Below are 12,435 nucleotides of genomic sequence, written 5' to 3'. Positions count from 1 at the left end.
GAGGCAAAATAAAAGCATGTGCCCGAAATCTCATAGCTAGTTAGCAGCAGGATCAGAATTAATATTCATGTCTCCCGATTCCTATTCTGGATCTATTTCTCTTATCTGTAGCTACTGAGGATATTTAGAAAAAGCCTAAGTTTTTTTGACTAAAGTGCTCAGCTCACTTTCTTTCCGTATTTTCCAGAGATAACTATTTAGGAGGTTGTTGTTTTCTTCCTGATTTTGGTCTTTTTTGGATGAACATTTAATTCAGCTCTCTTCCACTCCCTGTGTGTGTAGTGGGCTGCCTGGCAGAGATGGCAGGAGATGTTTTCATGCGCAATCAAGGACAGAGATGCATTGGCTGCCAGCCTCAGGCAGGGACACAGACTTGTCTCCCACCAGCAGAGCGATGATGCGTTTCCCCAAAATGTTCCAAGAATGGCCTGGAATATGACTAGACAAGGTCCATGCGGCCCCATGAATGGCTTCACACTGCACCGGCCAGAAAACAAACACAACAGTAATTCTTGGATTAGCATGAAAACACTTCCAAAGGGGTCTCAAAGACAGCCTTGTGTCCCTTTCATAAAAGGGAAGAGATGAGGTGTGACCAATAGCCTGTTGGATGTCTTTCTGTGCCAGGCAGAGGTCATCTTGGAAGGGCACCACAAACACAATCAGTTTAACAGAGAGGAAACAGACTTGAAGCTAAAGGACAAAGAACATTTCAGAAGAGACAAGGTGGTGTCTGAGGAAGGCAATTTCAATTAAAATAGGAAGGAGAGTTAGCATGACTCACATATTAAAAAAAAATACAGTATCTTTTGCACTGAAACACGATGCATGTAGCACAAAAAACATGGAGTTTGTATCAGGAGGTGCAAGTATTCCAACACTAGCCAAGGTCCTCTAAAGTTCTAGGCTTCAGCTTTTGCATTTATAAAATAAAGCTAGTAATATCTACTTTTCCTGGTTGCTGTGAGGATTAAATGAAGTTAGAGGTAGGAAGTCAAGAGGAGATGGATTAGTGAAGAGAACCTGTACTGGGATATAGATGATTTGGCTCAGAATCCTTGTTTCTCAGTGACTAGGTGATAAGGGCCAAGTGATTTTACCTGAGTGGCCCTAAAATTTTTCAAACATTTTTGGATGTGTCTGTTGTACCAGAATTTGACAAATTAAATTTTCAGCAAAATTCCCATGTATAATACAAATAGATGTGGAGCAGCCCTGTTTAAAGCAGAGGTGGGCTGAGGGGCGGTGTCCAATATTCTCTGTACCTCTCTTCTTCCATCTCTTCTTCCTGCCATGACAATGCCTGAGACAGCTCTTCCATTTCCATACTCTAGGAGTCAGCAGCTGTTCACCTCTGCTGCTTTTTTTGATCTTTCCAGCATGAATTGGAAAATAATTCTTTCAAAATCTCCCACTCAGTCTTCTGAAACTTCAGTGGAGTGGCCGATCTTCTTCATCTTAGATGAAGATGTTTTATAAACAAACATAAGAAGAAGATCCATGTGAATGAATATCTGGATGACAGAGTTAAATGCCTCTGATGGAGTTAGTGCTGCTTCCCAGAGCATGGGCCTTTAAAAAGTATCACCGGATTCATAGTCACAATATCATTATTAAAGTCTACAATGCTTATTTACTTATTTATGTTTTCAGTAGAAGGGGAAAGTAAGAATCTTAGTGTAAATTTTATAGGTAAGGAGTCACTTTGAATTTCAGGTGACCTAAGTGGATATATAAACAATGAATCCCAGTCTAAAATCAATAGTGTCACACAAAAAATAAATGTGATCATCTGACTTTCATTTTCATAGAATGATCAATTATACATTACACACACACACACATTACCATATAGAGTCCTCGATCCTCATAATGTCTTATTACTTCAAAAGCATTTCCTTTGTGATCTGCTTTAGGATCTACCTATCTCTTTCTTTATGGAGATTAGATAAGCCTTCAAAACTCTGAAGACAGAAAATAATTATATATTTGGAGCCATTTCAAGAAAAATGAACAAAGGGACTCCTATACTTTGCATTTTATAAAGTATATATGTCTTAATGCTGTGCCATGTGTCCTGGCTTTATCATGCTCTCACTGTGTAATCCTGGATAATCCCCTTGAACCTGGAGTTTAGTTTTCCTTATCTGTAAAATAGGGATACACAATGCCTTGTGAGTATCACATGGGACAGTATTTGTTGTGTTTTGAAAAGCTAAAGATGATAGTCAAATATGGCCTTTATGATTAAAAAATTAAAAAGAATGATTATTGTTATTATCTGGCCAATATTTTAAAAAACAAAGACATAAAAAGAGACCCATTCTTCTTTTCATTAACAACCAGAGCCCCATAAGCCTGCAACCACTAACAAAGAGAGTCATTGGCCTTCAGCACACATGGGTTTCATTTAAGCTTAGAGGGTTTACTTGTAGTGGTTTGGAATGTAATCACAATATCCTGTTTTTTCTTAGAGTTCTGAGACCTTTTTTGTTAATTCCTGGTAGAATCAGGAGGACATTGAGTAGTAAATTGGAGCTGTATTCTGCAATTATTGTCCTGTGACCTCTGGTGAGAAGTCTTGGTCTTCCACACTCTTGGGCTATCCCAAGTCTCATGGGGGATATAAAAATAGAAACTATGCTTAGGGTCAGCTCCCCACAAATAAGTATATATTTGGGGTTGCCAATTCCAATCACACCTTCAACTCGCCTACTGTTTTGTCAATCATGTTTTTCACTGGGAGAAAAGCTGATCTGGTTTGGCTGTGTTCCCACCCAAATCTCATCTTGAATTGTAGTTCCCATAATCCTCACGTGTCATGGGAGGGACCTAGTGGGAGGTAATTGAGTCATGGGGTTGATTTCCCCCATGCTGTTCTCATGATAGTGAGTGAGTTCTCATGAGATCTGATGGTTTTATAAGTGTCTTGCATTTCCCCTGCTGGCAGACATTCTCTCTCTTGCCTTCCACCAATGATTGTAAGTTTCCTGAGGCTTTCCCAGCCATGCAGAACTGTGAGTCAATTAAACATCTTTTCTTTATAAATTACCCAGTCTCAGGCATGTCCTTATAGCAACATGAGATTGGACTAATACAAAAGCAATTTAATAAATTGATTTACCTTGAAGCATTTGCAACTAAATGCAGCTTCTCATGAATCCTAAAGAAAGATGCATGAGCTCTTGGTGACGCCAAATCCACCCAAACCACATAGTTGAGAATGGGGGCAGGGTAGTGTCTTAAAAGGAATTTGGGATGCTACTAGGAAGAGAAATGGCTGCCAGGGAGCCTCAAAAAAAATAAATAAAAACAAATACTCTTTCTGATATGTTTAATTATAAAACCTCTTAAAGTTTTTTGGCTTTCTTGTTTCTGGTGATAATTTCAGCTGGATTTTTTGTCATTGCTCCTGAGAAGCAGTATTAGGGGACACGTTCTCTTGTCACAGGTCATGGATAAACTGAATGACCTTGAGCAGTGTCATTTTATCTCTCTGGTTTCAGCTTCCTTCTTTACTGTTTATTTTAGTTTGTAGATTTAAAGTGTACAACTTGATGTTTTGATACGTATACATTATGAACTAATCACAGCAATCAAGATAACAAGCATATCTATCACCTCACATAGTTAGCTTTTTCTTTTCTTTTTGGTGAGTAAACTTAGGATCTTCTTTTTTAGAAAATTTCAAGTACATAGCACAGTATTATTACCTATAGCCACCATGCTGTGCATTATATCTCCAGAGCTTATTCATATGGTTTTCCCTTTTTATGAAATGAGTTTGGATACAGAGGTTTTTCAAGGTGACTTCCAGTTTTAAATATTGTAATTATTTTCTATCTATTCAGTTCTGTAGATGGTGAGCAGCTTAATTATGATATGTAGGTTACTACTGAAAATAACAGGGAGATAGGAACACCGCAATGAGAGTTGACCACTGTGTGTGTCCTTCATCTTGTTTCTTTTCACCTCCAACATGGAAGGGTAGGAGTGATGTATTTTCTGTGTGCTGCACAGATGAATATTTGGCACCTGATTCTTGATCATTATAAGTGATGCTCAGATCAGGATAGCTGAGGTGAGCATAGATGATAACTGGGAGAGGAACATTATTGCTCTAGCAGGACTCCTAACTCTTGTAATTATTGTAAAATGAAAAAAAAGCTACTTCATTCTGGAAATGTAAATGGAAAGAATTGACTTCTTTTCTTCTTGAATGGCATAGATTGCAGCCTCAACCAGAGGCAAGAGGAGGAAGACTTGACCTCTGAGAGTCCTGTCTCAGCCCCTCTGTTCTCCAAAATGCTGGCCCTGAAGGAAAAGTGTCACCCGTCTTCTCGAATGCCCTGTCGCACACTGAGTAATGTTGCCCCTCTGCCCCCAGTGGAGCATTTTAATGATAACGCTGTCTTCAGGGACAGATTGTGACATGTCTTTTAAAGGAAGATGAAATCTATTAAGACAGTGAGGACAGAAAAGAAAAGCTATGTCCCTGGGAAGAGTGCTCTAGAGGAGAACACTATTTGCTCCTTTCGTGCCCGTCTCCTTCTACTTCTTCCTCTCTTTGTTGGAACGGCGTACCCTTCAACTGCTCTACTTTGTGTCTGGATTATTATGGTTGTTGGTGTATAAAATTGCTGCTTGGTGTATATAATTTATAAGCTCTAAAAAATGATAAATAGTCTCAAGTAAGAAGAGTGATTTGTGTTAAAGTCCTCAGGGTACTTTTGTACAGGAATTTAATTTCTTGAGGGAAATTGTCTATAACTTCCTGTGGAATATTAGTTAACTAGTTCAGAGCTGGGATTTATTTTGTGTTGTCTTTTTTTTTGTTTTTGTTTTTGTTGGTAAATTTTTCTATTTTGGGTCTGGATAGGTTTTACCTGAGCAAATGAGATTATATAACAAAGTGTGATGTGCTGGGAAGCTTAGGGAAACAGACTAGAGCTTAGTTAATTTATTTTTCTTAATTTTGTTTCAAACCAATTGCTGGGATTCTCTAAGTTGAGGTTATTTTTGTGCTGCAGCCCAGTGGTTCTAAATCAGGGGAAATTTTGCCAGCCAGGAGACACTTGGCAATGCCTGGAGATATTTTTGCTACTGGCATCTAGTGGGTAGAGGCCATGGATGCTGCTATAAAGCCTCTGATGCACAGAAGAGCCCCCCACAACAAAGAATTGTTAGGCCTAAAATTCTGCTTGTGTCAGGGTTGATAAGCATTTCTTCAACTCAGTAGGCTCCAGGGAACATAATTCAATATATTTTTACCAAAGAATTTCTATAGAATGGCACTGTTTTTTTTCTCAACTTGAATTCTCATCACCAAGAATGGGAAATGGGGACCAAGAAGATGCTGGAGTTGAGCTAAATGTAAATGGGTCCCACAGTATGTAGAGTTCAGTGTTTAAAAAAATGACCGTAACATGTTTTACTATCTTTTTTTTTGTATTTCCCTAATGTTTAAATTCAATTTTAGATTGCAACAAAAAGAAGTCTGACTAATTGAAGGAACCAGTGAAATGGATTTTTACTTATTAGTAGTATTACCACCATGGCCTTCTTGAAAAAATTTCTTAGCAAAAGATGGTCAGGCATTGAAAATGTAACCCTAAACTTCCACTGTATGTGTATGACTATGAAGATTCAGATCAAAGTTTAGGCAAGAAGTGTTTAAGGGTGGGAGTGGGACCTCAGATGCAAAGATCTCCCTGCCAATACCCTTTGTACTTTGCTGAGCTCTGAGCCTGGTAGTTATTGCTGAGATTAGTGGATTGATGAAAAGTGTAATAAGCAGAGTGAACACTAGTATAGTATTCAGTTATGCAATATGAATAGCTTTGAACTCCCTAGCCTTAGCTTAGTTTTCAAAACTCTCTAGTGCCTGATCTTAGTTTGCTTCTTACTAATAATTCTCCTTCTCAGATCTGCTCTAGACAAACTTTTGTCCCTATTGCTTCATAAACTCAACTTGCGTGTTCACAGGTAGTCATATACCTACAGTTTTGTTCATGCCAATTCCTTCTGCTACTAGTCATTGACATTTCAGCTATCCTTCTAGAGTGAGGTAAAATTTCATCTCCTGCCCATTCGCAGTGGCTCACACCTGTAATCCCAGCACTTTGGGAGTCCGAGGTGGTGGATCACGAGGTCAGGAGATCGAGACCATCCTGGCTAACATGGTGAAAGCCCGTCTGTACTAAAAATACAAAAAATTAGCTGGGCGTGGTGGTGGGCACCTGTAGTCCCAGCTACTTGGGAGGCTGAGGCAGGAGAATGGCATGAACCCGGGAGGCAGAGCTTGCAGTGAGCCAAGATAGCACCACTGCACTCCAGCCTGGGCCACAGAGCGAGACTCCGTCTCAAAAAAAAAAAAAATTTCATCTCCTTTGTGAACCAACCAGCCAGAAATACTCCTTGCCTTCCCATTGCTTCCCTTCCCTTCCCTTTTCCTTCCTTCCTTCCTTCTTAACTTCCTTCCTTCCTTGTAAATGATAGCATTTATTAATTGTGGGTAGTTAGCACATACTTTTAACTTTTTTTCTGTATTTAAAAACTAGGAACACAATGAATTAGGGGATGCTAAGTTCCAACATCATACTGACAAAACTTGTGTAACTCAAAACAGGTAACTTAACCTCTCTGATCCTCAGTTTTTTCAAGTCTGTAAGATTGGCAGAATAATACTTATTCTGCCCTCAAAAAATAGTTTCTTTTGTTTTTTTTTTTTTGAGTCTGGTCTCACTCTGTTGCCCAGGCTAGACTGAGGTTGCACTGTCATAGCTCACTGCAGCCTCGAACTCCTGGCCTCAAGTGATCCTCCCACCTTGGCCTCCTAAAGTTTTAGGATTATAGGTATGAGCCACCATACCCAGCCTCAAAAAAAAAAAAAAGGTTTTGGATTAAATAAGATAATGAACACAAAAAACCTTTTCAAAAATATAAAAACTACATAAATGTAAGGCATTATTATTGTCATCAATTTACAAAATTACAGTGAATCCCACAGAGTGCTAATGCTGTATATATTCTGTAAAGCACTTAGCATAGTCGGCACTTAATAAATGAGAGCTCATGCAAGAGAATTGTTTCCACAGTTAAGACAGACTGGTATGAACAGCAGTTAGAAACGGGAGGCTGAGTAAGAGTTTACTACCTGTATTGGTAGAGAAGCTATTAAAAGCAAAATGTGATTTTTAGCATCCCCAGAACCATGATAGAAATGAATAAAATTTTGTGTGCTTTATCATTTGTGACCCAGAAAAGAGAACCCTGAAGCCATGAAAAGTCCTAAAATAAATTATTTGTTTGCAAAAGGAGGCAACATATTGCACTGATTTGACAATTTCAGTTTCTCCATTACGGGTACAAATAGAAGATGGGGTCACCTAAGCAAAATGCTCACTTATTTGTTAAAGCATTTCTTGACTACAAATTAATAAGCCTGAATTTATTTTCATGGCTCATAAACTGGTTCAATGTCCAAGCTTCCCTTCTTGATTGGTAGGGTAAGAGTAGTCTTGGGAGATGAGTCTGAGGGTGAGGTCTCAAAACTGGGCAGAGCTGGCTTTCAGAGACTGAGCATGGAGCTAAATGAATACGGAACAAGTATTATAGGGGACAGAAATGGGAGAAACAAGAAAGGAATCAGCTGATGATAGCTAATAGCTAGTGGGTGGTAGTGAGTTAAATAGAGAATTAACAATTTAGCTAGTAAATATCCTCCGAGATAAAGTGCAGGTTGTTGGGGGGATCTTTTATAAATCACCTGTATCTCACTTTTCCCTGGTAGATGGGAGGAAGCTGTTCAGCATTTCCAGCCTGTAAGGACAATACACGAACAAGAGATGAATCTATTGCCTTAGAAGTAATGTAGTTATAGTTTGCAATGTAAATAGAGTATAAAAATACATAATATAGTGAATGGGAAGAGTTTAGACTCTATGCTACACTGCTTTTATTCAGTTCCCGCTTGGCCATCGATTAGTTAATGAGGCTTTGAAAAAATTATTCAGTGTCTCCTGGGCTCAGTTTCCTTATTTTAAAATAGGAAGAACAGTCCCTACCTTACAGTGTTGTTGTAAGGATGAAATCAGATTAAAAAATGTAGTGCACATTGAACCAATGCCTGTCAAAAAGAGTTCTCAGTAATTGCTAACCTTTGTTACTAGATGGTCAACAAATGGAAGCAGGCAACTATTTTTCTTGTATTTTTCCCTCCTCTGCCTCCCCAGCTATGTCTAGCTGTTTAAGGAAATACTTAGAACTGAAGAATTGTAAAGGGTTTTGAGAACAACTAATGCCTTGCTACTCAAAGTGTTCTCCGTTGGCCAGTGGCATTGTGTCTGGGATGTCTTTAGAAATGCAGAATTTCAGCCTTATCTAGCCAGACCTATTGAATCAGAATCTGCATTTTAACAAAGTCTCTGGTAATTTTTGTGCATATTAAAGTTTGTGAAGCACCACTCCAGAGCAATGACACAATGAAGGTTTTATGAAAGAAGAAAGAGAAAGAGAAAGAAAGAAAGAAAGAAAGAGAGAGAGAGAAATAAAAAAAGAAAGAAAGAAAGAAAAAGAAAAAAAGAGAGAAAGAGTGAATGAGAAACCATACACTATTGGGAAGTTTTGGAATTGTTTGGACTTAATATACTGAATCAAAACCCAAAAGTAAAATATTTTCAGAACTGAATGAATACACATTTGAAAGAAAGTAACGTTATGTGATAGTGGCTTATGACAAGAAAAAGAGCCTCAATTTATTAGGCATGTAACTGTGTGTCAGTCACTGTGTCAAGTGCTTTATTTTTGAGGACTCATGCAATTCTTAATAACCACAGTATGAAGTAGTGGCTCTCATTCCCACTTTACAGATGGTAATATTGGGGCTCAGAAGAGTCAAGTGACTTTTTCAGGGTTGCACTAGTTAGTTGTCAATATCAGAAGTGCTGCTTTTCCCAGATAAGAAGTGGGCAATACTAAGATTGTATTCTTCATTTCCTATGTGGAGAATTCACAAGAAAGACCCTAACATTAGACCCTGGGTGAAAAGATCAAAGAAAACTAGAGCTCTCCTGGGTGATGCTTTGGAAAAAATCTGTTTACCCCAGGTTTTAGGTTTGGGGTTGCATGTAACCGGTGTCCACGGGCTTTTGGTGTCTTTATAAAGCCTTTGAGACCAGGAAACAGCTTTCAAGTAAGATTGCAACAACATAAGGGCCATATTTTACATTAGCTAGTGAGATCAAGATGAAGCTTGTGCTCTGAACTCTACCTTCTCTAAATTCCTTTCTTGACCCTCTGTTCTGATTGGTCCTTTCTCTTGAGCATTTTTGGGTGTTTATTGCTTAGTTGACATATACATTGCATTATATGGTTAGTTACATGGAGAACTCAGATGTAAGCTTTGATCTTGTTTCTTCTTAAGATCTAGGTTGGCCTAAACTCCTGTTTTATATCTTGTGTTAAAGTCTAATGCCCTTCCTGAGATTTTCAAAACTTTTGACATTTCCAAGAATGAGTTATGTTATCAAGGTCAGTATCTGGCTGCAATTCCTTTGAATTCCAGATTTTCCATTCTGTGTTTTCTCTCTGTTTATTTCCACTAAATCATTTAGCCAGTAACTATGGATTTCATCCCCTTTCTCTGATTTCCATAATAATACCAGGTTTTGGATTTTGAAGACATTCCTGGTGACTACTTTATTCTTGAGACTTGGTTTTCTCATTTTCTTTAAAAAGTAATAACAATTGTTATTATTTTAACTATTCTTTCCAGCTTGCTAGATTTATGTTCTTTGGATGGGTAAGAGGAAGATTTCTGCAATTAGATCTTTTGGTGATAGAGTTTCCTAGAATTGGGGACTAGAGGTGGAGATTCTGGCCTGGGGGTAATTAAGAGCTCCAAGAAAAACAAAGACAGTATGGAATAGTAGAAATACAAAGATCCGAACTGGGAGGGCAGAGAACCAAAGTAGATCAGAGGCCAGTTTTGAATCAGGTTATGGAGCTGAGAATGCTGAAATGAGACAAATGAGGAAATGCAACTTAGATGACCTAGTTGGGAGGGAAAAGTGGATATGATGGATGCCAAGCAATTTTGAGGATACTTGTTTTTCATTATTTTTGTGTGCTTGCTTTTGTTTTTTGTTATGAGCAGTACAAAGAAGATTTATGTCCTAGCTGAAAGGGTACAGGATAGGATATACACTTGCTACTCTTCCTTTTGAAGAGTATACATTTTAAAAACGTTTATTGAAAGCAAACTATATATTAGAAGCTATATGAGGCTTTTGCCCTCTTTTAAACTTTTTAAAAAACACCAAATTATGCATACTTATTGTAACAAAATCAAACAGCTATAAATAGATAAATTGTTTGTGTGTGAGAGGGAGGGAGGATGGGAGAAGAATGAGAGAAATATATAGAGTATAAAGTTCTTCTTTATCTCAGTATCCTCTTACCCCGACCAAATTATCTTATGCAGAGCTTCCACTGTTAACAACAATGTCACTGTTTCGAAGACTCAGAATATCCATTTATTTGGTACCAAGAGAGGACATATTTCTTTTCTCTTTTCCGACCACTGGAGGGAACTTGTCTTTTGTTCTCTCATGAAATAGTTTCCTCAAAGGTCCCTTTATTCATGACCTGTGTTTTCAGACCACAGATGTACTCAGGTTCAAATCTATGAAGAGTTCTCAATATATGAAAAGTGAGCATGGTCTTCTACTGTGCTATTTTGTTTGTTGTGAAACAACAGCCTTCCATATGGGTGGAACTAGGCTATTTCATGCTGTATTGTTCACAAAGGGAAACATCCAGGTCACGAGAAGTTGTTTTACAGGTCAGGCAAGCCATAGTGTATAAGCACTACTCTATTGATGCCTTATTATGAGATACTGACATAGAATAAAAAGAAACGATTCTTTTAATGAAGACAAAATGCATGGTTCATTGAAGGAAGCAGAAATGTCACTTGCTGCTTTCAAAATTGGACCATTTGACTGAACATTTGTGTTGCTTTATTTGCTGCCTATTGAAAGATATTCCAAATTCCTGAGCTGAATTTGTGGGGCTAACCATAGGAAAAGAAAGAAAGAAAGAAAAAAATATATATATGTAAATTTTAAGACACAAATTTACTTCTAGAAGTCTTTGTACTTTTAAAAATTGTCACGCAGGCCCCATTACTGGTGGGGGAACAAAGTCATAATTTGAGGTTAAGCTAGAGAAAAAAGAGGGACTAACTGAGGCAGAGAGCAAGGCCATAAGATCTCCACAGTCCTCAGGCACTACTTTCTGTTTTTTTTTCTTGTTAAAGCCTAATCGGGAAGCTTTAGACTTCAATATTCTTGTATGAAATCCAGAAGCTATGGGTAAAAATAATTGTGCTTTCTTTCCTCAATGTTTCCTAGAGATAGAAGAAACGGACTTATATAAAATGAGTGAATTAGGTTTACTAGGTGCTAAGCTTCTTGAGGATAAGTACTTGGGTTGTATTTGTTTTTTGAATCCCCCACGATGACTAGCATAATGATTGGCACTAGACAGGCAATAATATATGCTTTGTGTTTGTTTTCATTTTTTATTGTTAAATAGAATAGACTGACAGTCTGATTCTGATTGATACGGACTGAGAGCTGAGATTGTGTAGGTGGGTGCTGCTTGAAGGCTGAGGACGAACAAAATGACCATTCAAACTCTCTTCTAATTTAAGAAATCCACTATTCAATCTAAATACTTATGATAAACTGTGTAATAGGAGGAAACAATAATAAAATGACCCTTTTGCAATCGCTTCTGAGACAACCAAATTAACACTTTGTCACACACCCATTTATTTTAATTGTTCTCTCCAAGGTAATATCAAAAAGTCAACATGGATAGAGGAAACAGAAGAAAAAAAACAATTTGTTCCTCATTAAATGTTAGAAAAGTCCGAGATAAACCTATTTAAAATTGATCTGATAAGCCCGAGAACAGTGATGCACTGATGTGTTTTCCTCAGCTAATGGTCTTCAGCTAATATTTATCCATTGCTTTGAGTAACCATTAATCTCTTGTGTTGAGAAACTCCACAAATGCAATTTCTAGGGCATTTAACCTTTCCATGTTTGCTGTCTCTTGAGTTTGGGTGACTTGGTTTTGGTGTATACTCAATTTCATTTAGTTTTCTTGGGTCCCAATTGCAAAGATAATAGCACCAAGTCCTTTTAAAATTAGTCTTTCTCATTTCACAACACAGCAATATGTTCCTGAGGTGTAATGAAGTTAAATTCATTTTGCCTTCCCACACTTACATTCTTATCCATTACTACTTTCTCTTCCTTGCACTGCATTCTCTGCTATTTTTCTCCTGTGTAATTTGACATCAGGAATGGCCACGAAGGAAACAACTGAGCAGTGTAAATGCCTTTCTAATGATCTCAAAGCTTC

Source organism: Homo sapiens, chromosome 18 (assembly GCF_000001405.40).
Source record: "Homo sapiens chromosome 18, GRCh38.p14 Primary Assembly".
NCBI classification, from domain to species: Eukaryota; Metazoa; Chordata; class Mammalia; order Primates; family Hominidae; genus Homo; species Homo sapiens.
The sequence above is the reverse complement of the archived record's forward strand: the minus strand, read 5'-3'. Positions refer to the sequence as shown.